This window comes from Homo sapiens, chromosome 22, assembly GCF_000001405.40.
Source record: "Homo sapiens chromosome 22, GRCh38.p14 Primary Assembly".
In the NCBI taxonomy this organism is placed as follows: Eukaryota; Metazoa; Chordata; class Mammalia; order Primates; family Hominidae; genus Homo; species Homo sapiens.
The window spans coordinates 46,294,266-46,321,508 of NC_000022.11; the positions used below are offsets into that span (position 1 = coordinate 46,294,266).

Genomic DNA, 27,243 nt, shown 5'->3' on the forward strand with positions numbered 1-27,243 from the left:
GAGGCTGAGGCAGGAGAATCACTTGAACCTGGGAGGCAGTGATTGCAGTGAGCCAAGATCGTGCCATTGCACTGCAGTCTGGGCAACAGAGCGAGACTCCCATCTCAAGGGAAAAAAAAAAAAAAGTAGGTGGGGCATCTAGTCAAGAAAATGGGAGGTCGGGCGCAGTGGCTCACGTCTGTAATCCCAGCACTTTGGGAGGCTGAGGCAGGTAGATCACGAGGTCAGGAGATCAAGACCATCCTGGCTAACACGGTGAAACCCCATCTCTATTAAAAATACAAAAAATTAGCCGGGCATGGTGGTGGGCGCCTGTAGTCCCAGCTACTCGGGAGGCTGAGGCAGGAGAATGGCGTGAACCCGGGAGGCAGAGCTTGCAGTGAGCGGAGATCGCGCCACTGCACTCCAGCCTGGGCGACAAAGCAAGACTCCGTCTCAAAAAAAAAAAAAAAGAAAGAAAGAAAAGGGGTAATTATAGTAGTATTTCCAGAGAGGCGCCTTCTCTACCCAAGAACTAGGGACACATCCTAAGGGGAGCCTCCTTCCCCTCTCCTGGTTCCAAGCAAGAAGACATGACTTGGCTGTGCAATTGGGAACCCTGGTCCCTCCTCCAGGAAGCCTTCTACCCGCCAACCCCCACTGCAGGCTGGTGAGGGTGCTGCCTCTGTGCCCCTCAGCCCTTGGCACTTGCCCTTGCTCTTGCACCCCTGCCATGACCTCTCCAGGTCAGGGACAGCATCTGTCCCCAGCATCACCTGGCACATGGCCTGCACTGAGTAGCTGTCAGTGAAAGTTGGTGAATGAAGGCATAAATAAATGAAGTCAAACTCTGTATTAGGCCTTCTTGCATTGCTATGAAGAAATACCTGACGCTAGGTAATTTATAAAGAGGTTTAATTGGCTCACAGTTCTGCAGGCTTTTCAGGAAGTATGGTGCTGGCATCTGCTTCTGGTGCAACCTCAGGAAGCTTAAGATCATGACATAAGGTGATGGGGAGCCAGTATATCACATAGTGAGAGCAGGAGTAAGAGAGAAGGGGAGGTCTTAGACTCTTAAATAACCAGATCTTGTGTGAACTAAGCAAGAACTCATCACCAAGGGGATGGTGCTGAACCATTCATAAGGGATCTGCCCTCACGACCCAATTACTTCCCACCAGGCCCCACTTCCAACATTGGGATCACATTTCAACATGAGATTTTGAGGGGACACACATCCAAACTACAGCAAATCCTATTGGGGGCAGAAATGAATCTGCCATACATAGGCCACACCTACTATGTGCTGACATGATACAGGGAGAGGAGTATCAGGAATGACTGTTGGGGATCCCTCTGCCATTCTCCCATGAGCAGACATCCCCAGGATGAGCTGAGGGGAATGCAATGAGCAGGCCAAACTCTTTCCAAGCTGTTTGACCACACCCACCTACCCCAGCACTCTCAGCCCCTGCCTGGTGCCCTGTGCTGAGCTGGGTGAGGCTGGGGAGACTGGTGAGTGAGGGCTGCCCTGCCCTTTTTGAGCCCCCAGTCTTCTGGTGAAGGAACATAGCAACATGGAGTGATTGGTATGGATGATGCAAAACCAGGGACATGGGACCCAGAAGTGCCCGAGCCAGCCTGGAAGGCCTCTGCCCTGGGCCCCGGGTGGCTGTTTGCTGCACAGCTCTCCCCACAGCCTGCCCCAAATAAACAGCTTATCTTCGTCCCTGAAAATGGTGCTCTCGAGTTCCATCCTTTTCAGAGCGGGTCCTCCCAGACTCCTCTTCCTGCATCCTCCTCCATCCCGCTTAGTGACACTTTGCCGTGGGTGGAGCCCCTCATTTGATCCTCAAGCCCCCGAGGTGGGTATTATACCTCGTTCGCAGGCAAAGGCTCAAGCGAGGTCAGTCTTAAGTTGCTGCCCACTGACCCGTCTACCAGTCCTGTCCTTGCGTCTCCATGGCTCAGGTCAGGGTTATCCTATCTGCTTCCCACCTCTCTCCAACACATGCACTCCCCAAGGCAGGCTCCATCACCGGGCCCCAGCCCCTGGCTCTCTCCTCCAACGCAGCTCCCCAGCCGGCCTGTAAAACCGAGGACAGGCTCCCGCCACGCCCTCGGCGGTCCTCAGGCCTTGGCGGTTGGGGAAGCCCGCCAAGGGCGACGGTTCCCCTCCAGCCCCACAGGCTGTGCAGCTCCGGCAATGAGTCTCCCTCAGGTCTCTGGGTCAGCCGGCGCCCCAGTGCGTGCCTCGGGGGCAGGGATCCCGGCTTTTCACTACTGTTAGTAACAGCTCGCGCGCGCTGCTTCACAGCAGGTGGGTGAGCCTACTTTTAGTCTTCCCATCGACACCCTTAGATGGCAGTTTTAACTTTCTCCCTACACACAAGGAGCTGCTATACATGGTTCCGGCTTGACGCGGATACCTAGTGACACTTGGCGGCCAGGCCGGGCAGACTTCCGGGTGGGTGATCCCTGGCGCTGTGCGGAGCCATTCGCTGCGCTGAAGCAGTGCGCATGCGCACTGGACGCTTCTTACCAGCGTCCTGACTACAATACCCAGGACGCACCCAGCCCGCCGCCTCTCGGAGCCCTTTTCAAACCGACCAATCGGCAACCCGCGTCTCCCGGCGCCGCGTTTAAATCCGTGCCGGAGGCGCGTCCTGCATCGTCTGCCGCTTTGGGTAAGGTGGGGTCAGGGTCGGGGGCGAGGCTTGCCCGGTGGGCCCGGTGCGGCGCGGTGCCCGCCGTTTTCGGGACGGGGAGGGGCCGCGCCCCGCCAGGAGCCGGGCCTGGGCTCGAGCAGGGGTCACTGAGGCCCCTCGCGCCGTGGTCGGGGATGCCGGGAGGTCTAGGGCTGCCCCCCAGGCAAACAGAGCCCCCAACACTCTGGCCCAGAAGCCGAGAATTCCGTTATCTCGTCTGATGGCGTTCGGGCTGACTCCCGGCCTGGCGGCACTCGGGCCCTGGGGTCCCCTGGGATGCGATCATTTCAGAGCGGCCCCCGCGCCGCCTCTCCCAGACCTGGCCGCGGCCTTCAGCTCTCTCTGCCTCTGTGAGCCGAGGGCTGAAGGAAGCCGGAGCCCTGGGCCCTGACACGTACTCACTTTCTGGCCCCGTTCCACCCTGCAGTGACTTCTGACAGCTCTCTCCATGGAAGGAGGCGGCGGCCGCGATGAGCCTTCAGCCTGCCGGGCAGGGGACGTGAACATGGATGACCCTAAGAAGGAAGGCAAGTCCTTGCTGCTGCGGCGCTGTTGTTGTTCAGGATGTTCAGTAGAGATGGAGGGTGATTTAATGTTTCCCTGAGAAATTCTTTCTCAAGTGCTCGACTTGTACTCTGCACCTGTGAAACACATGACATCTGCCTTCGTTTTCTGGTTTTCTTTCACCTCCTCCCCATTTTAAGTTTCATCACAGCCAGGATTCTCATCCGTTTTATTTACCGCAGTGCTCCCATGCCCTGAACAGCACCTAACACTTTGTGGGCTCTCAAATATTTATTGTATTGAATTCGATGTTTTCTTTTTTGTTTGTCGCTGGTTTCTGTTTGCTAAGACTTATTTAGGATCTTTGAGACCATGTTAATGAGTAAGCCTGGCCCCAAACCCCTTTCTTCTTGTGTCTTTGACTGGTTTGGGTATCAAGGTGAGGGTACAGCTTCACAGAATGAGTTACAGGCCACACCCTCTTTTTCTCTCAAAGCGTTTTTATTTATTTATTTATTTATTTATTGACGGAGTCTCGCTCTCTCACCCAGGCTGGAGTGCAAAGGCGTGATCTGTACTCACTGCAACCTCTCTCTCCTGAGTTGAAGGGATTCTCCTGCCTCAGCCTCCCTAGTAACTGGGATTACAGGCACCCGCTGCCACACCTGGCTCATTTTTGTATTTTTAACAGAGACGGGGTTTTGCCATGTTGCCCAGGCTGGTCTCGAACTCCTGAGCTCAGGCAATCTGCCTGCCTCGGCCTCCCAAAGTGCTAGGATTATAGGTGTGAGCCACCTCACCCAGCCTCACAAAGCATTTTGACATCCCTTGGGTAGTTTTCTCACACTACCCAAGGATCCTTTCTTTTTGAGACCAAGTCTCACTCTGTCTCCCAGGCTGGAGTGCAGTGGCATGATCTTGGCTCACTGCAACCTCTGCCTTTCGGGTTCAAGCGATTCTCCTGCCTCAGCCTCCCGAGTAGCTGGGATTACAGGCACCCGCCACCACACCTGGCTGATTTTTGTATTTTTAGTAGAGATGGGGTTTTACCATGTTGGCCAGGCTGGTCTCAAACTCCTGACCTCAGGTGATCCACCTGCCTAGGCCTCCCAAAGTACTGGGATTACAGGTGTGAACCACCGCGCCTGGCCCCAAGCATCCTCAATGCCTCCATTTTGCAGGAACTGTCCTGGAGACTTTACAAATCAATGTTGCATCTTCATATCTAGCAAGGCGCTTGCCTCTGCACCCCTCTCCTCCTTCCTGTCATGTCCTTCCTTTCAAATATGTCCTTTCCACGTGCATACTGCACCCCCTGCTCCTTCTTGAGGCCTTCCCCACTTCCGTTGACCTGACTTCATTTCCTTACTTTTCCCCTGTCCACTACTGGATCATGCGCATCCACATACAGATAATGTTCCCTTGTCTCACTTGTCGCCACGTCTCCTCCGTTGCCTCTCCATTGCTGTGTTTCTCCTTCCAAGCCAAACTTTGAGAGCTTTCTCACTTGTTATGCCATTTTTTTCCGCCTCTCAATCCCTCCCATTCCGGCTTCTGTCCTTACCACTCCATTCAAGCTGCTTTCATCAGTCGTTGACGACTTCCACATTGCTGAATCTCTTTTCACTTTTCTATCGCCAGTCAGCTTTTCAGTAACATTCGTCCTTCTGGAAACTTCCCTTGCTTGGAGTCCAAGACGCTCTTGGTTTTTTCCTCCTGCCTCTCTGGCTGGTGTATCTTTTCTCTGTCGGGGGCTCCCCCTCTGCTGTCTTCTGAGGCTGATTTCCCCAAGACCTGCTCTGGGACCGCTTTGTGCTTTCGCCCTCAGGGCGGTCAGCATTCCAATAGCTGTGCAGCGTATCTGCTCTCTGCGGCACCCACGTTTTGTCTTGAGCGCAGCCTCTCCTCCGAGCTCTGGGCTTGTATATTCACCTGCCTATTTGGCGTCTTCACATGCACGTCTCATCTCAAACTTGGCATACCCCCTCTGCATCTGCATACCCTGTTCTTTTTGTCTTTCTCATCACCCATTTTATTTCTCCATTTCACCCAGCTGTGCAAGCTGAGAACCTCCTACATTCATGCCATCACCAGCTAACGTCTTCTCCACCTTCAGAAGATATCCTGAATCCATCTACAGACTCTCCATCTCCATCCACATGCTGCTGTCTGGGTCTCAGCCACGCTGTCTCACCGGCTTCTACTTCCCGTTGGCTAATATGTGCATTTGTAATGTCAGGGGATATTATCTGCTTCCTTTCGGATACACTTTCTACACAGTAACGTCACCTTTTAAAAACACAAGTTAGATTATAAAGCTCTTTTCTTTTCTTTTTTCTTTTTCTTTTTTTTTTTTGAGACAGAGTCTCACTGTTGGCCAGGCTGGAGTGCAGTGGCGTGATCTCGGCTTACTGCAACCTCCGCCTCTTGGGTTCAAGCAATTCTCCTGCCTCAGCCTCCTGAGTATCTGGGACTACAGGCGCCCGCCACCACGCCCAGCTAATTTTTTTTTTTTTTTTTTTTTTTTTAGTAGAGATGGGGTTTCACTGTGTTAGCCAGGATGGTCTCAATCTCCTGACCTCGTGATCTGCCCGCCTGGGCCTCCGGAAGTGCTGGGATTACAGGCATGAGCCACTGTGCTCAGCCTTTTTTTTCTTTTTGAGATGGAGTCTCGTTCTGTCACCAGGCTGGAGTGCAGTGGCGACATCTTGGCTCACTGCAACCTCCGTCTCCTGGGTTCAAGTGATTCCCCTGCCTCAGCCTCCTGAGTAGCTGGGATTAAAGGCATGAGCCACCGTGCCCAGCTAAGTTTTGTATTTTCAGTAGAGACGGGGTTTCACCATGTTGGTCAGGACGGTCTCGAACTCGACCTCAAGTGATCCGCCTGCCTCAGCCTACCACTGTGCTGGGATTACAGGCATGAGCTACCACGCCAGGCCTAAAATTCTTTTCTTAAAGCCCGGTAATAGTTTCCTATCCCACTTTGGAGAAAATAAAAGCTCCTTGCCATGGCTTGCAAACCCTCTGTGATCTGACCCAACTTGTGTTTTCACCTCTTCCAGCCACTCTGACTTCTGACCCGTTCCTCTCACACACGCTTTGATATTTTCTCAGAGGTGTTCCCACCTCTACATGTCTCTCACCGCACTGCCTGAGGCACCCTCCAGGGTGGGCTGCATGTACCCCAAGCCTGCCTGGCACCTAGCGAAGGATGTGGTCTGTTGTGGGTGCTCATGTGTTTGCAGGATGAGCAAGTCAGCCAGCCCGGGACCCCTCGGAGCCAGTCACAGAGCCTGGAGCAGAAGACTGCTTCCCTGAGTTCTGGTCCTGGATTCTTTTTCCACGCCAGACCATTAGAAGTTTCTGAAATTGACTTCCTAATTTAGAGGTGTAAAAAGTGAAATGTCTGCCTCTCTATATCTCTAAGTCACCTACTTGCCCTTCCAAGGGCCATCGATGTCATCAGTCTCTTGGGTATCCTTCCAGACATAATTTGTGCAGGTGCAAGCCAACACGCATAGAGTGTTGCATCCCCCTTTCCATATAGCATGGAGAGCCCTGTCCTGAATCTTGTTTTTCAGGCTTAATTTATCTTGATGAATATTGTGTATCAACACATGAAGAGCATTACTAGCTTTTGTACCTATATAGGGTTCCACCTTGGGGATATGTCATTCATCTCATCTGCTGTGGGTGAACATTTAGTTTGTGCCTAGAGTCTTGCTGTTACCAATGATGCTGCAGTAAATAACTGTGGACACCGTGTAACTGCACAACACATTGCTTTCCACACCTGTGAGTGTCTGTAGGATACACTTGCAGAAGTAGACTTGCTGGGTCGAAGAGGGTGTGTGTTTCTTACTTCGATAGGTACTGCCAGGCCCTCTAGAGAGCTGTGATAATTTACACCTTCCCCAGCAGTGTAGAAATTGTCTCTTTCCCCACAACCTTGCCTATAGTTCATACATCTTTGAGTTTTGCCAGTCATATAGGCGAAAACTGCATTCTCAGAGCAAGTTTATTTTTAATACTTTTTTTTTTTTTTTTTAAGACAGAGTTTCCCTTTTGTCCCCTAGGCTGGAGTGCAATGGTGCGATCTCGGCTCACTGCAAACTCCCCCTCTCAGGTTCCAGCAATTCTCCTGCCTCAGCCTCCCAAGTAGCTGGGATTACAGGCACCTGCCACCAGGCCTGGCTAATTTTTTGTATTTTTAGTAAAGATGAGGTTTCACCATGTTGGCCAGGCTGGTCTCGAACTCCTGACCTCAGGTGATCCACCCGCCTCGACCTTCCAAAGTGCTGGGATTATAGGTGGGAGCCACAGCGCCCAGCCTCATTACTCTTATTTTTGAGTGAGGCTGAACTTCTTGCCATCTATTTAAGAATGTTTCGGCCAGGTGCGGTGGCTTGCGCCTGTCATCCCAACACTTTGGGAGGCCAGGGTGGGCGGATCACCTGAGATCGGGAGTTCCAGACCAGCCTGACCAACATGCAGAAACCCCGTCTCTACTAAAAATACAAAATTAGCCAGACATGCTGGTTCATACTGATCCCAGCTACTTGGGAGGCTAGGGCAGGAGAATCGCTTGAACCCAGGAGGCAGAGGTTGCGGTGAGCCAAGATCGCGCCATTGCACTCCAGCCTGAGCAACAAGAGTGAAACTCCGTCTCAAAAAAAGTAAATAAAGAAAAATAAAAAAGAATGTTTTGTTTTATTTTCTGTGAACTTTATCTGTTTGTATCCTTTTTCTATCTTTATTAGATTATTAATTTTTTATTACTTTATAGATATGCTTCATGAATTAGCCCTTTATGAACTGAGTTGCAAATATTCTTTTCCCCATTTCTTGTTTAACTTATTGTGATTTTTGCCACACAGAGATGTTAAAATTTTAATGTTTGAAGGTCAATCTTTTATTTTTTATTTATTTATTTTCTGAGACATGTTCTTGTTCTGTTGCCTGGGCCTGAGTGTAGTGGCGAGATTGTGGCTCACTGCAGCTTTGACCTCCCAGGCTCATGCGATCCTCCTTCCTAAGCCTCCCTGGTAGCTGAGACTACCACGCCTAGCTAATTTTTGTATTTTTTGTACAGACAAGGTCTCCCTATGTTGTCTAGGCTGGTCTCAAACTCCTAGGCTCAAGCGTTCCTCCCACCTCAGCCTCCCAAAGTGCTGGGATTACAGATGTGAGCCACTGGGCCCAGCCGACCAATCTTTGGTAGCTTCCAGTTTAGTGTCATAGTTAGAAGTCCACACTCCCAAGTTACAAAAGTTTCCTCATAGCTGATTCTTGTTTGTTTAGGGCTTTGTTTTTTTTCCATTAAGTCCTTGATTTGTTTGGAATTAGGCCTGATGTGGTGTGAGGCATGGACCAAACTTAGTTGGCATTTTTCCAGATGATTATGTAGTTTATTTTAATACCATTTTTTCACTTTCCCTCTTTTTTTTTTTTTTTTTTCTTTGAGTTGGAGTCTTGCTCTGTCACCCAGGCTGGAGTGCAGTGGCGTGATCTTGGCTCACTGCAAGCTCCGCCTCCCAGGTTCATGCCATTCTTCTGCATCAGCCTCCCAAGTAGCTGGGACTACAGGCACCTGCCACCACACCCGGCTAATTTTTTGTATTTTTTAGTAGAGATGGGGTTTCACCGTGTTAGCCAGGATGGTCTCGATCTCCTGACCTTGTGATCCACCCTCCTCGGCCTCCCAAAGTGCTGGGATTACAGATGTGAGCCACCCTGCCCGGTCTACTTTCCCTCTTTATTTGATATGTTACTTTTATGATATGCCAAGTCTTCTTTATATCCATTTTGCATATTTCTTGTTAGGTTTGTTTATCGTTATTTTGCATCTTTCGTTGCTGCTAGAAACGAAGTATTTTCTTCCATGTTATCTTCTCACTGTTCTTTGTAGATATGAAAGCTGTTGATTGCTCTGTAATGATTTTGTCCTTAGCCATGTTCTTTTATCCTTTTACTACTTATAGTAGTTTCCAGTTGATCTTCTTGATTTGTTTCTCGTGTCTATAATCATGGCATCTGTGCAGTGTGATCATGTTACCTCCACATTCCTTCCTTTGCCTGACTGTGTTGCTTTATGTGTCCAGAACAGTGTTAAGAATTGTGCTTGGAGATGTCATTGCCACGTGCCTGGCTTTAATGGAATTGCTTCTGTGGTTTTTCATTAAGTCCGATACTGGGTTATGGGTTAATTTCCAAGTAAATGGTAGTCGTAGGTGTGCTATTCATGAGCATTTCTATGTGTTTGTCTTCTGGGCATGTAATAGAATTGTACTCCCTGTTCACTTGAAATTCAGTTGGCTCTGGTGACTCACTTGGCCAGTGAAATGGGAATGTTGTCGTGTGTGTCATTTCTGGGTGGAAATCTTCAAGAACCAGTGTGGAATTGGTTCTTTTCCTTCCTGCCATGGAGACGAGCGGTGTTCCTGATGGTGGAGGCTCCATCAGTTGGGGTCCTGGAGTGAGGAGGCCAGGGAGCAGGGCCCCAGCCTACCCCTCTGCAGACATATAGTTTGAGTGAGAAATATACCTTTGTGGTTTTTGGTTTGTTTTGAGACAGTGTCTCTTGCTCTATTGCCCAGGATGGAGTGCAGTGGCTTGATCATAGCTCACTGCAGCCGCAAGCTCCTGGGCTCAGCATCCTGAGTAGCTGGGACTACAGGTATATGGCACCATACCCCGCTCATTTTTTTTTTTCTTTTTGTAGAGCTGGGGTCTCGCTATGTTGCGAGGGCTGGCCTTGAACCCCTGGGCCTCAAGTGATCCTCCTTGGCCTCCCATAGTGCTGGGATTACAGGCACAGGCCACCATACCTGGCCTACCTTTGTTGTTTTAAGGGTTGTTACTTCAGCATGTTAGCCTATCCTAACTGGTAAGATCAATTTGTTCCTGTCTTTAGAAGGAATACTTCTGACGTTATCCCACTGAACCTAATGCTGGCTTTGGGTTGAGATGGGGATTTCCTTATATATCTATTACTTTTTATTAAGAGCCTCTAAAATCAAGAATGTATGTTGTATTTTATCATATGCCCGTTCAACATATGTGCAGACGATCATGGTTTTCTCTTTAGCTCTAGTAATAAAATGATTATATGAGTAGATTGTATGAAATGAAACCATCTCACAGTCATGAAATGCAGGGAGCTTGGTTGTGTTATGTTATTACCACTTTAATGTTTGCAGGATTCTTTTTGCTGGTATTCTTGTTAAAGAGTTTGATGTTAGGCCAGGTGTGGTAGCTCATACCTGTAATCCCAGCACTTTGGGAGGCCAAGGTAGGAGGAATGCTTGTTCCCAGCAGTTTGAGACCAGCCTGGGCAACATGAGGAGATCCCATCTCTACAAAAAATACAAATATTAGCCAGGGATGGTTGTGCGTGCCTGTAGTCCCAGCTACTCGGGAAGCCGAGACAGGAGGATCCCTCGAGTCCAGGAGTTCGAGGCTGCAGTGAGCTATGATTGTACCACTGTACTCCAGCCTGGGTGACAGAGCGAGACCCTGTCTCAAAAAAAGAAAAAGGATTATTATGCTGATGTAAGTAAGGCTGGTCTTTACTTTCTTTATTGATCACTTTCTAGGTTTTTTGGTAACATACTTACTTGCCTCGTGGAAGTAAGTTGGAAAGTTTTTTTTCTTTTAATCCTCTGGAGTGATGTAAATAGTATTGGAATTATTTGTTCTTTAATGTTTTGATACAATTATCCTATGAATCTAGTTGGGACGCTTTTTTGAAGAGGATAGCTCTTTAATAAATTTCACCAGTTATTTTATGATTATTGAAGTATTAAGATTTTCCCTGTCTTCTGGAGTCAGTTTTATAAATAAGTACATTTAGACAATTTAAATAAAAAATAGACTGGATGCGGTGGCTCACGCCTGTAATCCCAGCACTTTGGAAGGCCGAGATGGAGGGATCACGAGGTCAGGAGATCGAGACCATCCTGGCTAACATTGTGAAACCCCGTCTCTACTAGAAATACAAAAAATTAGCTGGGCGTGGTAGCACGTGCCTGTAATCCCAGCTACTCGGGAGGCTGAGGCAGGAAAATCGCTGGAACCTGGGAAGCAGAGGTTGTAGTGAGCCAAGATCACACCACTGCACTCCAGCCTGAGTGACAGAGTGAGACTCCATCTCAAAAAAATAAAAAGAATATACCAAGTGCAGTGGCTCACGCCTGTAATCCCAGCACTTTGGGAGGCTGAGGCAGGTGGAACACAAGGTCAGGAATTTGAGACCAGCCTGGCCAACATGGTGAAACCGCATCTCTACTAAAAATACGAAAATTAGCCCGGTGTGGTGGCGCGCGCCTGTAATCCCAGCTACTCAGGAGGCTGAGGCAGAAGAATCTCTTGAACCTGGGAGGCGGAGGTTGCAGTGAGCCAAGATCACCCCACTGCACTCCAGCCTGGGCAACAGAGTGAGACTCCATCTCAAAAAAAAAAGAATAAATAAAATTATATTTTCCTAGAAAATTATCTCTTTCAGCCAAGTTCTTAGGTTTATGTGCATGAAGTTGACAGATGTGCTTATGGATCTTTTCATTCCCTCTCTGTGTGGTTATTTCTCTTTTCTTTCTTTTGTGCATTTGTTCTGACTTCTCCTTGATTAGGTAATTAAGAATAATTGATTAATCAGGACCAAATTAGGATATTAGTATATTTTCAAATTTTATGATTTTTGAGAAGCATGCTGTGTTGTTATTTTTATTTATTTATTTATTTTTTTGAGACAGAGTCTCACTCAGTCACCCAGGCTGGAGTGCAGTGGCGCGATCTCTGCTCACTGCAAGCTCCGCCTCCCAGGTTCACGCCATTCTCCTGCCTCAGCCTCCCGAGTAGCTGGGACTACAGGCACCTGCCACCACGCCCGGCTAATTTTTTGCATTTTTTGTAGAGACAGGGTTTCACCATGTTAGCCAGGATGGTCTTGATCTCCTGACCTCGTGATCCGCCCGCCTCGGCCTCCCAAAGTGCTGGGATTACAGGCGTGAGCCATTGCGCCCAGCCTGTTTTGTTTTGTTTTCTGAGACAGAGTCTTGCTGTGTCACCCAGGCTGGAGTGCAGTGGCGCAATCTTGGTTCATTGCAACATCTACCTCCGAGGTTCAAGCAATTCTCCTGCCTCAGCCTCCCCAGTAGCTGGGATTACAGGTGCACACCACCACGCTCGGCTAATTTTTTTATTCTTTATTTTTGGTAGAGATGGGATTTTGCCACGTTGGCCAGGCTGATCTCGAACTCCTGACCACAAATCATCTGCCTGCCTCAGCCTCCCAAAGTGCTGGGATTACAGGTGTGAGCCACCTTGCCCGGCCTTCATTGTTTATTAAGATAAAAACATTTATGGGAGAGCTTTATAAGCTTTACAGTATTGAGCAAATACTGTATTTCAGTGCATTTTGATAAATATTTGCTAAGTGTCCAGGCCCTTAGCTGGACATTTGGGAATTTGGGTTAGTGTTAGACACTGTTATCTTGGAGGAGCTTATAGTCTAGTTGGGGCCATAGAAGGGTCAAGAGGCACTCACAGAGGCTAGTGCAGTGGTAGAAGTGAGGTCCAGGCACTGCGGGAGCCTTGCGGGGAGCTGGAGGAGGGAGCAGGTGCCCCTGCAGAGGGACCCACTAACCTGGAACTTGTGATCTGTTTTAGAGGGACCTGGGCAGACAGGGCCATGCCAGCTGTGATAGAATTATGGATGGGGTGGGGTACAGAGTAATTTCATCTGAGGATTCAGGAAGGACTCCAAGAAGCAATGGCGGTCAACGAATTCTTATAGAGTCCCTACTCCGTGCATTTGAGTAATATTAAATTCATTGTTGAACTATGAATAGATGTTTTGTAGCTTGTAAGAGGGGAATTTAATTCTAGGGGAGCTGAGGAAGGTGGTCTTTTGAAAATGTTCTATACCTGGAAAATGACTTATCTCTTCTTGAAAAGCTAGTTGAATGAGTCAGTGAATGCATTTTAGATTATATCTTAAAAGTAAGGACCTAAGCTTTTGGGTGGCTTAGTGAACATAGAATGGCTGATGTAATTTCTTTTTTTTTTGAGACAGAGTGTCTTTCTGTCACCCAGGCTGGAGTGCAGTGGTGCCATCTTGGCTCACTGCAACTTCCACCTCCTGGGTTCAAGCGATTCTCCTGCCTCAGCCTCCGAGTAGCTGGGACTACAGGTGTGCGCTACCATGCCTAGCCAATTTTTGTATTTTTAGTAGAGACGGGGTTTCACCATGTTGACTAGGCTGGTCTTGATCTCTTGACCTCATGATCTGCCCGCCTAGACCTCCCAAAGTGTTGGAGTTACAGGCATAAGCCACCGCCCCCAGCCGGCTGATGCAATTAAAAAAAAAAAAAACTGGCCAGGCATGGTGGCTCACGCCTGTAACCCCAACACTTTGGGAGGCCACGCCAGGAGGATCACTTGAGGCCAGGAGTTCGAGACCAGCCTGGTCAACATAGCGAGACTTCGTCACTAGAAAAAATTTAAAAAATTTTTTAAAAAGGAAAAAATATAACTTAGAGCCCCCTATGAAAAACTAAATTAGCATCATGACAGGATACACTTTGGGGAGTGAAATTTCACAGTACCTTTATTTAATTCCAAGCCATAGAGCCTGGTAATATTTTTCTCTTTATCAGCTGTGGCACTAAAATAACAGTGGATTTTTTCCCTCTAGACATTCTTCTTTTGGCCGATGAAAAATTTGACTTCGATCTTTCATTGTCTTCTTCGAGGTAAACAAATGAGTTTTCTTCCCTTGCCTTGGGCATAACCACATTCAGTAAAGTCTTTCCTTTAAATGCCAGTGTTATGAGTTATTAATCATTCTTTTTTTAAACAAATAGTGCAAATGAAGATGATGAAGTCTTCTTCGGACCCTTTGGACATAAAGAAAGATGTATTGCTGCCAGCTTGGAATTAAATAATCCGGTTCCCGAACAGCCTCCGTTGCCCACATCTGAGAGTCCCTTTGCCTGGAGCCCTCTGGCCGGGGAGAAGTTCGTGGAGGTGTACAAAGAAGCTCACTTACTGGCTTTACACATTGAGAGCAGCAGCCGGAACCAGGCAGCCCAAGCTGCCAAGCCTGAAGACCCTCGGAGCCAGGGCGTGGAAAGATTCATACAGGAGTCAAAATTAAAAATAAACCTCTTTGAGAAAGAAAAGGAAATGAAGAAAAGCCCCACGTCTCTTAAAAGGGAGACATACTACCTGTCAGACAGCCCCTTGCTGGGGCCCCCTGTGGGTGAGCCTCGGCTCTTGGCCTCCTCCCCGGCCCTGCCCAGCTCTGGTGCCCAGGCCCGCCTCACCCGGGCGCCGGGGCCTCCGCACTCTGCTCATGCTTTGCCCAGGGAATCATGCACTGCTCATGCTGCAAGTCAGGCAGCGACTCAGAGGAAGCCCGGGACCAAATTGCTGCTGCCTCGAGCGGCCTCTGTTAGAGGAAGAAGCATCCCTGGGGCTGCGGAGAAGGTAAATGCCACAGCAGAGCGCCTGCCTGGGGAGCCCCCACTCCTTGCCCCTCAGCCCTCTCACAGAAGCCACATGCGGAAAGCCTCAGAGGTGGCGAGTCTCTGAGGCCTACAAAACACAGGAATGCGGAGTCCAGGAAAAGCAGTTGCCAATAGGGAGCTGATGTGGGGGTGGCTTGGATAAGTTGGGTTGACCTAATATTTCCTCCTAAATTCTGTCTGAAGTTGTTCCTTTTGTTTTGTTACAATGCTGGATATACCACACAGTAGGGATTTCATTTGCTTTAATAAGCAACCTCTTCCAAAAACTCCCCTCCTCTGCAATGGCTGCTAGTCAGCCTCCTTGACCGTGCCTCAGTTTACACTGCATTCCTCCTGGGCACTGAGTGAGGTGAGCTTTCCTGGGAGGTGGCAGTTGACAGGGGTGCCTTTGGGTGCAGTCTGCCTACTCTGGGACACTGAGGGTCCTGGAGGTCTGGGGGAAAGCTGGGTGTGAGCACAGGACTTGCTGCCAGGGCTGCCCGATCTGGCTCTTGCTCGGGAGAGGCCACAGAGAGGAAGACGGGGCGGGTGGGAGCCCCGGGGCCCACCCTGCAGCCCGTTCCCAGCTCTGCCCCCTCCCCTGGGCAGCACGTACAGAGGAATGACCCTGGGTGGGGCTGATAGGAGGTGCAGGCAAATGCAGAATGCTCAGCAAGGGCCCAGAAATTCCTTTACCCCCACCAAGCCCATCTCCTGAGCCACATGACTCCCTGTGGTGAGAGCCAAGGATGGAAGGCAGCCGAGGTGCAGCCGCCACGCCACACACTGCCCTTGACAAGGAGGTATGCCCGGCACTGCCACCCCCAACAGCTGGGGCCTGCAAACTCCTTTATTTGGAGCCCGTTTGGGATGTAGATTCCTACCGTGATGTTTCTAGAATGAGAGTGGGATGGGTCCTGCTGTGTGGAGCACACGTGGACTCGGGACAGGGATTGTGCATGTAGCACGCGTGGACTCGGGGAGAGAGGTGGTGTGATTTGGGCTGCTCCAGACCCATCGAAGTATCTCTTTTGATCTCCTGGTCCTGGGTGGTGAGCTGGGGTCCAGAGAGCTTGTTCCCAGTGGACAGGGCACTGTCCGCACAGCTGAGATGCACTCATGCACACGTGGGAGCCCCACCATGTCCTGCATGTTTCTCTGGGAGAAGTCACTTCTAGAGTGGCTCATGGCACATGCTCACTCCTGTGAGGAGTCATTAGCAATGGGTGGACCACTTGAGTGTAACACCTACTTACAAGTGTGCTTGACAGAGAACTGCTAGGATGCCTAAAGGAAGAAGAAAAAGAAAATAACAGGTGTTATTTTGAGGATGAGGATGTTGTGGAGGATGAGGAGAAGGCTGAGGATGTGGAGAAGCTGGAAGCTCACGCATTGCTGGTGGGACTGTGAAATGGGGCAGCTGTTGTGGAAACAGTTTGGCAGCTCCTCAAAAAAATAAATGTAGAGGGTCCCATGGGACCCAGCAATTCCACTCCTTAGTACACAGACCTGAGAGAATTGAAACCATATCCACAGAAAAATCCACATGCAGATGTTCGAAGCAGCATTATTCATAACAGCCAAAAAAGTAGGACCAACCCAGGCATCCAGCAAATGATGATTGGGTAACGAAAATGCAGTCTATCCAAACAATGGTTTATTTTTGGCAATAAAAAGAAACACTACTGGGCGTGGTAGCTCACACCTGTGATCACAGCACTTTGGGAAGCCAAGGTGGGCGAATCACCTGAGGTCAGGAGTTTGAGCCCAGCCCGGCCAACATGGTGAAACCCCGTCTCTACAAAAAAATACAAAAATTAGCCAAGTATGGTGGTGCACACCTGTAATCCCAGCTACTTGGGAGGCTGAGGCAGGAGAATCGCCTGAACCCAGGAGGTGGAGGTTGCAGTGAGCCAAGATGGCACCACTGAAAACATTTTGCTCAGTGAGAGAGGCCATAACAAAAGGTCCCATGTCGTATGGTTCCATTTATATGAAATGACTATGACAGGCCAATGACAGAGGCGTGGTTGAGTGCTTCCCTAGGTGGGGCTGGGGAGGATGAGGGAAAGGGGAGAACCGCTAATGGGTACAGGTTGTTTTTTTTTTTGTTTTGTTTTGTTTTGTTTCTGAGACAGAGTTTTGCTCTTGTTGCCGAGGCAGGAGTGCAATGGTGCAATCTCGGCTCACTGCATCCTCTGCCTCTCGGGTTCAAGCAGTCCTCCTGTCTCAGCCTCCCGAGTAGCTGGGATTACAGGCGCCCGCCACCACGCCCGGCTAATTTTTGTATTTTTAGTAGAGACAGGGTTTCATCATATTAGTCAGGCTGGTCTCAAACTCCTGGCCTCAGGTGATCTGCCCGCCTCGGCCTCACAAAGTGCTGGGATTACAGGCGTGAGCCACTGCACCCGGCCGAGTACAGGTTCTTTTTTGGGACACCACTATATTTTAAGATTAGCTTGTGCTGGTTGTACAACATAACAGATCTACTAAAAACCACTGAAGTATACTGTTTAAAATAGTGAATTTTATGTTATGAGAAGTATCTCAGTTTTTAGAAATGCTATAAAGGGAAAAAGTTACTGCTGCGTCTTTACCACTCTGAGCTTCTATTGCTGTTACCTTATTAACTCTCCTGTTATAAGGGGGCTATTTATGTAAGTATAAATTAGTTCCATGAATGCCCTTGTCCCTAAATATGTCAAGAACTTATTTTTTGACTCTGCTGGCCAAAGAAAATGGCTTTCAGTACTAGACCAAGAAGATTTATTGCAATTGAGCAGCTTCTCTGGTAGAGATGACCATTTAATGGATGAGTCCTTTCTGTACAGCATTTTAAAATTTGTGTAACTAGACCAGCTTTCTCATTATCATTCTTAAATAAGGATCCTGACTGGGGAATGGCTTTAGAGAACCTCTCTCCTATTAATGATCTGTGTAGGTATCATTTGATGCTGTTTTTAATGAGGAAGCAAAATCCATCATCACTTATGTCCATAGTGATTTGGTGGAGGATGCGAACTGCTTGCCCTGTTCCCTTCAATCTGGCTGATGAATGGAGGGGCATGTGTAGCACTGGGGAAGATGGGGCCTAGGCTCGCTCTGAATGGAAGCCTGAGTATCTCTGTACATTGTTAAGCACTAGACAGTTCTCACAGTTCAAATTAAAATTTTCAGCCCAAGAAAGAGATTCCAGCTAGTCCTTCCAGGACAAAAATCCCAGCTGAGAAGGAATCCCACCGGGATGTTCTCCCTGACAAACCTGCCCCGGGTGCTGTCAATGTGCCGGCCGCCGGAAGCCACTTGGGCCAGGGCAAGCGGGCGATCCCTGTTCCAAACAAGGTGAGTTGGCTGCTGGGGCCCAAACTTGTGGTTGCTGGGAATGAGGTGGCAGCTGTGTGTACAAGTGCTTTGGATTAAAATCCCAGCATTTTGGGAGGCCAAGGTGGGAGGATCACTTGAGCCCAGGAGTTCAAGACCAGCCTGAGCAACATGATGAAACCCATCTCTACAAAAAATACAAAAATTAGCTGGGCATGGTGGTGAGCAACGGCAGTCCCAGCTACTCAGGAGGCTGAGGTGGGATGATTGCTTGAGCCCAGGAGGTCGAGGCTGCAGTGAGTCATAATCACGCCACTGCACTCCAGGTTGGGTGACAGAATGAGACCCTGTCTCAAAAAAAAAAAAAAAAAAGAGGTGGAAAAGTTGAAAATACACCCACAAGAGGCAGCCTGCAAAATACATGCAAAGAATACTGGCTTCGCAGTGTGCACTGATGGCTAGCCTCTGCCCTGGGAGCTGTGTGGGTTGGGAAAAGTCAGCGTCTCGGAGCCCCAGTTTGTAGGTGGGGATATTCCGTTTCCCTCATGTAGAGTTCTTGAACAGATGACATGAGATGTTGATGTTTTGAAAACAGCAGCTGGGTGCAGTGGCTCACACATGTAATCTCAGCACTTTGGGAGGCTGAGGCGGGAGGATCACTTGAGCCCAGGAGTTTGAGACCAGCCTGGGCAACATAGTGAGGCCCCCATCTCCATTAAAAAATAAAAATCAGCCAGGCATGGTGGTGCATGCCTGTGGTCCCAGCTATTTGGGAGGTTGAGGTGGGAGGATTGCTTGAGCCCAGGAGGTCAAGGCTGCAGTGAGCTGTGATCATGCCACTGCATTCCATTCCAGCCTGGGCAACAGAGTGAGACCCTGTCTAAAAAAAAAAAAAAAAAAAAGGAAAAGAAAGAAAATTGCGGTTCCTCACAGGCATGGAGACTACCAGCCACATCTTTGCCACTTATTTTCTGGCATTGGCGGTAAACCAAGCTGTGTGTACTGGCAGTTCTTGTTAGAACTGCCCAAAGCTGGGCCCTGCAGCTGCTGACTCATGGGGTCTGGGTTGGGGCCCCAAATCTGCATTTCTGCTAGCTCCCTAATGTGGTCCTCATGCAGGGGTTTGAAGACTACACTTTGAGAAGTGCTGCTTGACTTTTTTCTTCTTTAAATTCAAGATGATAATTATTAGATTATTTTAAAATAGTAAAAACACCAACTTTTGTTGTTGTTGTTGTTGTTGAGACGGAGTCTCACTCTGTCGCCCAGGCTGGAGTGCAATGGCACGAGCTCAGCTCACTACAACCTCCACCTCCCGGGTTCAAGCAATTCTCCTACCTCAGCCTCCCGAGTAGCTGGGACTACAGGTGCCTGCCACCATGCCCAGCTAGTTTTTATATTTTTAGTAGAGACAAGGTTTCACCATATTGGCCAGGCTGGTCTCAAACTCCTGACCTTGTGATCCTCCGGCCTCAGCCTCCCAAAGTGCTGGGATTACAGGCGTGAGCCACCGTGCCCAGCCAAAAACCCCTTACTTTTGCAGACACAAGTAATAGGTAAATAACGAGATCTTTGCTGATTCTGTTTTTTCACATTTTGCCCCAGTTGGGGCTGAAGAAGACCCTGTTAAAAGCACCCGGCTCTACCAGCAATCTCGCAAGGAAGTCCTCCTCGGGGCCTGTTTGGAGCGGGGCATCCAGTGCGTGCACATCCCCAGCAGTGGGCAAAGGTGAGGCAGCCGGCATCATGCTTGGACCCACATCTGGCCAGGTGAGGCCTGGAGTGCTGCTCAGGCCTTGGAGACTGTTTCTGCAGAACCACTTAGGCTTGGCAGGACGTCCCGGAGGGCGTGCTGTGTGCGGTGGACCAGGCTGTGGACTGAGTTGCTGTACCTGCCCTCAGTGCCTCTGTCCCATGAGGAGGGCACACTCAGATGGGTGGCTTCAGTCTACGGGGTACACATGGCCAGAAAGCATGTATGATACCCCGTGCCTGAGAACATGGACACTGGAATCACCCTCATGTCCATGTCATGAGACACCAGTTTTAAAATAGGACTATTCCAGATAATGTAGGGCATATGGCCCCATAACTCCTGGGTGCCTGTTTAAATCCATGCTCCCACACCTGTTTGAGGTCAAGCCACATTTCAACCTTGCCAAGCCACAGCTGCCATCTAGTGGTAAGGGAAAGCCTTCGCCTTTCTGCTCTTCAGAGCGAAATCCTCTTCGAGGTGCATTGGCCATGTGGCGTCTCGGGGTCGTTCAGGGCAGCATGGTGTGGATTGTGTTCACAAAATGTAAAAAGTGGGCCGGGCGCAGGGGCTCACGCCTGTGATCCCAGCACTTTGGCAGGCCAAGATGGGTGGATCGCTTGACCCCTGGAGTTTGAGACCAGCCTGGCCAACATGGTGAAACCCTGTCTCTACTAAAAACACAAAAACTAGCCGGGCATGGTGGCGGGTGCCTGTAGTCCCAGCTACTCGGGAGACTGGGCCACGAGAATGGCTTGAACGCGGGAGGCAGAGGTTACCATGAGCCGAGATTGCATCACTGCACTCCGTCTCAAAAAAAAAAAAAAAAATGATAAGTGTGAACTCTCTAATCAGATTGATCTGATCTGGAATTCTGACTCTGCCATTCTGTGATTAAGAGAGGTTTGTGTCCTTATCTTTATAGACTGAGGTGATGACCTCCTGAGATCAAGCAATCCTCCCACCTCAGCCTCCTGAGTAGCTGGGACTACAGGCACATGCCACCACACCCGGCTAATTTTTGTGGGTTTTTTTTTTTTGAGATGGAGTCTCACTCTATTGCCAGGTTGGAGTGCAGTGGCGCAATCTTGGCTCACTACAACCTCTGCCTCCCGGGTTCGAGTGATTCTCCTGCCTCAGCCTCCCAAGTAGCTGGGACTACAGGCACCTGCCACCACGCCCGGCTAATTTTTGTATTTTTAGTAGTGACGGGGTTTCACCATGTTGGCTAGGATGGTCTCGATCTCTTGACCTCGTGATCCGCCCGCCTTGGCCTCCCAAAGTGCTAGGATTACAGGCACGAGCCACTGCGCCTGGCCCACATTTTTGTGTTTTTTGTAGAGAGGATGGTCTCACTATATTAGCCAGGCTGGTCTCGAACTCCTGGCCTTGAGTGATCTCTTGCCTTGGCCTCCCAAAGTGTTTGGATTACAGGCGTGAGCCACCACTCCTGGGCTAAAGTTTTTCTTTAAGAATCCTTTACCAGATCGTCTGCGTATATTGGTAGCTCAGTATGTATTACCCTAGTTTATCTGGTCTTCTATTTTAAATAGTGCTTATGGTTAATATGACGCAGCCTCCTTGTAATTTTAAAGGAATCAACCAGTAACAATTGCGTCTTTTTTCCTTGTTCCCTGCCCACCTCTGTGACCAGACAGGTGAGACATGTGACTAGACTATCCCCTTCCATCTGCTCAACTAATGTAGATTTCTCCTGCCAACATAATCAACGAAGATAGGAGAGCTTGAATTTATGCATGCTTATGTACATGTTAGTAATTATTTTGAGAATAAGTACCTTAGAATACACTCAGCTAAGCTAAAAGCTGCCTGAGCCATCCTGTGTTTGATGATGTTGCCTGAAGGGCTTATAGAATATTGTTAATGTGTCTTATGTTTAAGGTAGATATGCTAAAGACAGCATAACTTCTGTGTGTTTGTTAAATAGCTTCATACTTTTATAATAATGTGATTTTTGTGTGTATACCTTCTAGCTAAATCAAGTGAATTTGCAAGTATTCCTGCAAATAGCTCCCGGCCTCTGTCAAACATCAGCAAGTCAGGCAGAATGGGACCCGCCATGCTGCGGCCAGCTCTGCCTGCAGGCCCTGTGGGGGCATCCTCCTGGCAGGCCAAGCGGGTCGATGTTTCTGAGCTGGCAGCGGAGCAGCTCACGGCACCCCCCTCAGCATCCCCCACCCAACCCCAGACTCCGGAAGGTGGCGGCCAGTGGCTGAACTCCAGTTGCGCTTGGTCAGAATCTTCTCAATTGAATAAGACTAGAAGTATCAGACGGCGAGATTCCTGTCTAAATTCCAAGACAAAGGTTATGCCTACTCCTACAAATCAATTTAAAATTCCTAAGTTTTCTATTGGTGAGTAATAGATACATTTTAATGTGTCTTTAAAAAATACTGAAGAAATTGCATTTAAAGTTTTAAACAATTATTGATGGCATTGATGGTGTTTTTAGTTCTTTCCTCCAACAGTGCTTTCAGGTGTGACCCGCTGTCTTCTCGCCCACGTTGTTTTGGGGGGTCACTGGAGGCTCCCTGAATGTCTTACGTTCGTTCCTGTGTGTGTGACACCCCAATGCTCGTAGGCTGCTTGTAAGGTTTTCTCTTTAGTGTTACTGTCGGGAATTTGATTATTATGTGCTTTGAGGTGGCTTTCTTTGCCTTTATCCCGCTGAGGGTTTCTTAAGCTTCTTTGATCTGTGGGTTGGTTTTTTTCAGCAAATTTGGAAAACGTTGGCCATTATTTCTTCAGCTATCTTTTCCTCTTTCCACTTTATTTCCTAGGACTCTAATCACATCTATTTCAGGCCTCTTGACGTTGTCTCACAGGACACCGAAGCTCTGTTCTTTTTTTTATTTCAGCCTTTTTTCTTTTTCTTATCTTTTTTCTTTTCTTTCTTTCTTTTTTTTTGTTTTTTGTTTTTTGAGACGGAGTCTCGCTCTGTCACCCAGGGTGGAATGCAGTGGCGCGATCTCAGCGCACTGTAACCTCCACCTACCGAGTTCAAGCAATTCTCCTGCCTCAGCCTCCCGAGTAGCTGGGATTACAGGTGCCCACCACCACACCCGGCTAATTTTTTTTTTGTATTTTTGGTAGAGACGGGGTTTCGCCATGTTGGCCAGGCTGGTCTGGAACTCCTGACCTCAAGTGACCCACCCATCTCGGCCTCTCAAACTGCTGGGATTATAGGTGTGAGCCACCGTGCCCGGCCCAGCCTTTTTCCTTGAGCTACAGTTTGGGTAGTTTCTGTTGTCAGATATCATTTCTTCTGCAGTGCCTAACAGCTGTGAAGCCCATCCAGTTAACTTTGTTTCTAACATAATAGTTTCCCCTTATTTCTTCTCATGGTACTTGGGTTTTCTTTTACATCCTCGTGAGCAAATTGATAATGGTTTTAGGGTCTACGATTCTTCTCATACCATCTTCCCCATCATTTTGGGGTCTGTTTCGACTGACTAATTTTGTTTCCGGGTTTTGGCCTCATTTTCCTGCCTCTACATTTTTCACAAGTTTTTCTTGGTTGTTGGATATTGTCAGGTGTACACTTTTGAATGTCTGGATTTTGTTGTCTTTCTCTGAGGAGTTGGGTTGGGCTTGGCAGGCAGTTAAGGTGCAGATCATCCTTCCGAGGCTTTTTATGCTTTGAAGTGGTGGGTCTAGCATAGCCTTTCCGCCTCCCGCCACCGGCGTCCTTCCCAAGGCCTCTGCTGCACACCCGTGTGTCCCGCAAGGCCCGCGAGACCCCTGCACTCCTGCTGCTGCAAGATGACACCTTCTCGGCCCTGTGAGCTCCGCTCGTTGCTCCCTGGTAAGACGGCGGTTTCTCGGCCCTGTGAGCTCCGCTCGTTGCTCCCTGGTAGTTGCTCTTCTCTTGACCTTGAGGACTCCTGCCCTGCACCTGTGCACTGCCTGGTGCTCAGCCAGAGACTCGAGATTCCCTTGGGTTCCTAGAGCTCGTTCTGTCGGAGTAGCCCCCTCCTCTCTAGTTTCTGGCCCTCAGATTGCAGCCACCTCAGCCTCCTGAGCTCCAGCCACTGCCTTCTCCAGTCAGTGAGGCCACTGGCCCCAGCAGGTGTCTGGCCATTAGTGGGTGGGTGTTTGTAAAGTTTTCATGAATTTCTTGAACAATTGTGTGCAATGCAGAAAGTTCTCAGAGCTGACTTAAGGTGAGAGGAGCGTCCTGGCCTCCTCTGTCAGGCAGATCTGCCCTCTGGGTGCTTGAGGATTTTAAGTTCTGGCAGTGCCGGCCAGCACAGGCAGCCTGCAACTCCCAGAAACTGCATTCTGAGTCCTGCTGTAGGAACAAGCTGTTCTGCTGAGTGTCTTCTCTGTGCTGGAATGCTTTGGGGGACAAGGGACATCATGATAAGACAGACCTACTCTCACAGAATTTCTGTTTAATAGGAAAAGATACGAAATGTTATCAGATGAGCAGGCCTGCAGATCCTAGCACAACAAAGGGACTAAGGGAAGATGGTGTCCTGGAGCTGGCATGTTTGGGGAGGAATTTGCATCGGGTGGTTCTTTGGCAAAGATGGTCAGGAGGTGACACGGGACTGAGATCTGAACCAGGAGACTGAGGCAGCCGGTAGGAAAGTGCAAGGGGGAGCACTCCAGGCAGAGGCAACGGCAGGAGTGCAGAGGTCCTGGGGCAGGAAGGCGTGGGACGTGCTCTGGGAGCAGCATGGGGGCCGGAGGGTGGGAGTGCAGCCGCTGCGGTCGGGATTCTGCGTAGACGTGCGACAGCTGGTCAGTACTCCTTGGTGTCAGGGACCCAGGCTTACTCCATCCTGTGCTGCCGTGATGAGCTTCTCATCCTCATGGTCTAGTGTGGCTGCACCGGCTCTGGCCCTCATACCTCCCGGCAGGAAGCCTTCTTCTAGGTGAAGAAGAGCAAATCCCCACCTTTCAAGGACCCTCACTGCAAGTTGTCCCTGTGACTCCGTTTGTGTCCCATTGAGTACGACGCTTCCCTGCACAGGATGCTAGGACACGTTGTCTTTATTCCGCACACAGCTGAAATTTCTTACTGAGAAGAGGAAAGTTGCTGTTGAACAAAAACTAGCAACCTCAGCCAGTCAGTGACCGAGGGGCAGGGTAAGAAGAGATGAAGATGGAGGGGCAGCCCGAGGCCGGCTCCCAGAGCGCCGCGTGACCAGAGCGGACCCTGGAGTACCGTCAGTGCAGGAGGACGTGCATAGGAGAGATCAGAGCAGAGCGACTTGACCTTCAGAAGGTCCCTCCACAGAGGGAAGAGCAGAGTCTCTGGGCCGAAGAGTGGTGGGGAGGGTAATGCGGACCTGGCCCTCACTGTGTTGGGGAGGAAGCTAGTGCTGGGGAAGGAGGCTGGAGCGCTGCGGTCTGCCTGACGTTCTGGTAGCTTAGGGCTCATGTGGCAGTGCAGAGAGGGACTCGAGTGTCCCTGAGGTTCTGGCGGAACCTGGGTGCTGCCACTCATGTGACAGGAGGGCTGGAAGAGGCAGCGGGCAGAGTCCACGGCCCCATTTTGGAAGTAGTGAGGGTGAGAGGCCACTTAGGCTGCAGCTGAGGGGTGGAGCAGGCTGAGAGCTCAGAGGAGAAGCCACAGCTGGAGACCTCAGTGTAGGTTTCAACAGCAGAGAGCTGAGTTTGTAGAGATGGGAGCTGTGAGCTGGGCACGGTGGCTAACTCCTGTAATCCTAGCACTTTGGGAGGCCGAGGTGAGCAGATCACCTGAGGTCAGGAGTTCGAGAGCAGCCTGGTCAACATGGTGAAACCCTGTCTCTACTAAAAATAGAAAAATTAGCCAGGCATGGTGGCGCATGCCTGTAATCCCAGCTACTTGGGAAGCTGAGGCAGGAGAATCACTTGAGCCAGGAGGCAGAGGTTGTAGTGAGCCGAGATGGTGTCACTGCACTCCAGCCTGGGCGACAGAACGAGACTGTCTCAAAAAAAAAAAAAAGAAAGAAAGAAAGAAAAGAAATGCGAGCTGTGATTGGGTGGGTTCTGCAGGGACACCCTACGGCCCAGGTCATGTGGAGGTGTGTTCAGTAGTGTTTGCTTCCCTTCTGCCTGAATGCCTGGAGCCAGGACATGCGTCTGCCATGTCTCTCCTGACCACGTTGGCACAAGTGTTGGCTGGTCTCCTGGCTGTCGGGCTGCTTGATGCCACAGGACTTCTGCTAATCCCAAATCCCTGTTGGCTTTGCCCTGTTTCCCAGAGCGTGTCCCTGCGGTCTCCTTACGCACCTCTCAGATGTGCATTTCACCTTCGGCAGGCGGTTCCTCCTCTCTCCACAATGCTGGGAACAGGACTGTCTCTTGCACGCCTTTGGTCATTCATCAGGGTCAAAACTGGTCCCACAAACTCAGCACTGGCCGGAAGAGAGGCCCCAGGGGAGCAGCCACGCTGTTGGGAACACACAGCTCTGGGAGGCACGTGGTGGTGTGCACTTTTTGGCTGAGAGCACTGGTGGTGTTGCTCATTGGCTGTGACACCAGCTGTCACCGTGGAGGAGAGGTGAGGGCTGAGGGCACTCACAGCGTGGGACCACATGAACGGTGCCCTGTAGTGGAGGCTTTCATATGTGCACTTTCTCAAAATACTCGAGGCAAGCAGCATTCTTTGTAAAACAGTCCAGTTACAAATGTTGCTATTTACTATGAGTCCATGCTGCCGGGTCACCCAGAGGATTGAGACTTGGAATTCTGGCTGTGGGCTTTGCCTCCCCGGTACTGGGAGCTGCAGTGGAGACGCGCCGTCCAGGTTTAGGGAAGAGCTGATGTGGGCCTGGGAGGCGTGCGTGCTCAGGCAGCCCTAGGGCAGTCGTGAGGGTGTCAGGAGATGGCTTGTTCGTGTTCTGTTTCATAAGAATGACCTTCCCGTGCCACCATGGAAGCTGCTGAAGAGTGCGCTCCACCCAGCTGAGGGAGAGGACAACCGAGAGGAAGGGGTCTCGGGAGAGAGGGAGCCAACACGGGAGGCGGCAAGGGAGAGGGAGGCGGCGAGGGAGAGAGAGGTGGGCTTGCCTCCACACCCGCCAGGAGTGACCAACTTGGGTCTCACAGAGACCTCTGTGAATGGTGCGGGGTCAGTGACCCAAGAATGTTCCCAAAAGACAGGGATTATGGGATGACTTAGTCACAGACCACCCCACTCCATACAAGAAAACAAACACCAGCCTGGGCGACACAGTGAGACCCCGATTCTACAAAAACATTTAGCTGGGCATGGTGCTGGGCACCTGTAGTCCCAGCTACTTGGGAGACTGAGGCAGGAAGATTACTTGAACCCAGGAGTTCAAGGCTGCAGTGAGCAGTGATCAAGCCACTGCACTCCAGCCTGGGTGACAGAGCAAGACCTTGTTTCTTGTAAGAAAGAAAAGAAACAAACAAACTGAAAACGGAGGTGGAGAGAGGGTGGGAGCATGTTTGACTCAGCTGTGTGCGAGCTGCGCGCCTCTCCAGTGCTGGG

General features: G+C 49.9%; 1 protein-coding gene and 1 long non-coding RNA gene across 5 annotated transcripts in view, besides 2 other annotated features; one reads left to right on the forward strand and one right to left on the reverse strand.

The window, feature by feature from the left end:
* Positions 1-877: 877 nt before the first annotated feature.
* GTSE1-DT (GTSE1 divergent transcript) lies at positions 878-2,395 on the reverse strand. The gene has a single exon (NR_024009.1). It is a non-coding gene; the product is annotated as a GTSE1 divergent transcript (long non-coding RNA).
* The window catches only part of GTSE1 (G2 and S-phase expressed 1), a 33,941-nt gene continuing 9,302 nt past the window's right edge, over positions 2,605-27,243 (forward strand). For 2 of the 4 annotated variants that reach the window (NM_016426.7, XM_047441392.1), the window contains exons 1-7: positions 2,605-2,666; positions 3,115-3,214; positions 13,885-13,942; positions 14,054-14,678; positions 17,876-18,040; positions 19,625-19,748; positions 21,767-22,147. In NM_016426.7, coding sequence (NP_057510.5) covers positions 3,136-3,214; positions 13,885-13,942; positions 14,054-14,678; positions 17,876-18,040; positions 19,625-19,748; positions 21,767-22,147 — 1,432 coding nt within the window. In that variant the 5' untranslated portion in view covers positions 2,605-2,666; positions 3,115-3,135. Of the gene's footprint in view, positions 3,215-13,884; positions 13,943-14,053; positions 14,679-17,875; positions 18,041-19,624; positions 19,749-21,766; positions 22,148-22,245; positions 23,599-27,243 lie in introns of all 4 variants that reach the window. The other 2 variants (XR_007067974.1, XM_047441391.1) reach the window with 2 other exon arrangements.
* Positions 2,663-2,862: a silencer, noted in NCBI's record as "silent region_13909". NCBI's record gives its function as "represses an Ori minimal core promoter by ATAC-STARR-seq in GM12878 lymphoblastoid cells {active_cell/tissue: GM12878}" and the evidence as "EXISTENCE:reporter gene assay evidence [ECO:0000049][PMID:35858748]".
* Positions 3,013-3,122: an enhancer, noted in NCBI's record as "active region_19234". NCBI's record gives its function as "activates an Ori minimal core promoter by ATAC-STARR-seq in GM12878 lymphoblastoid cells {active_cell/tissue: GM12878}" and the evidence as "EXISTENCE:reporter gene assay evidence [ECO:0000049][PMID:35858748]".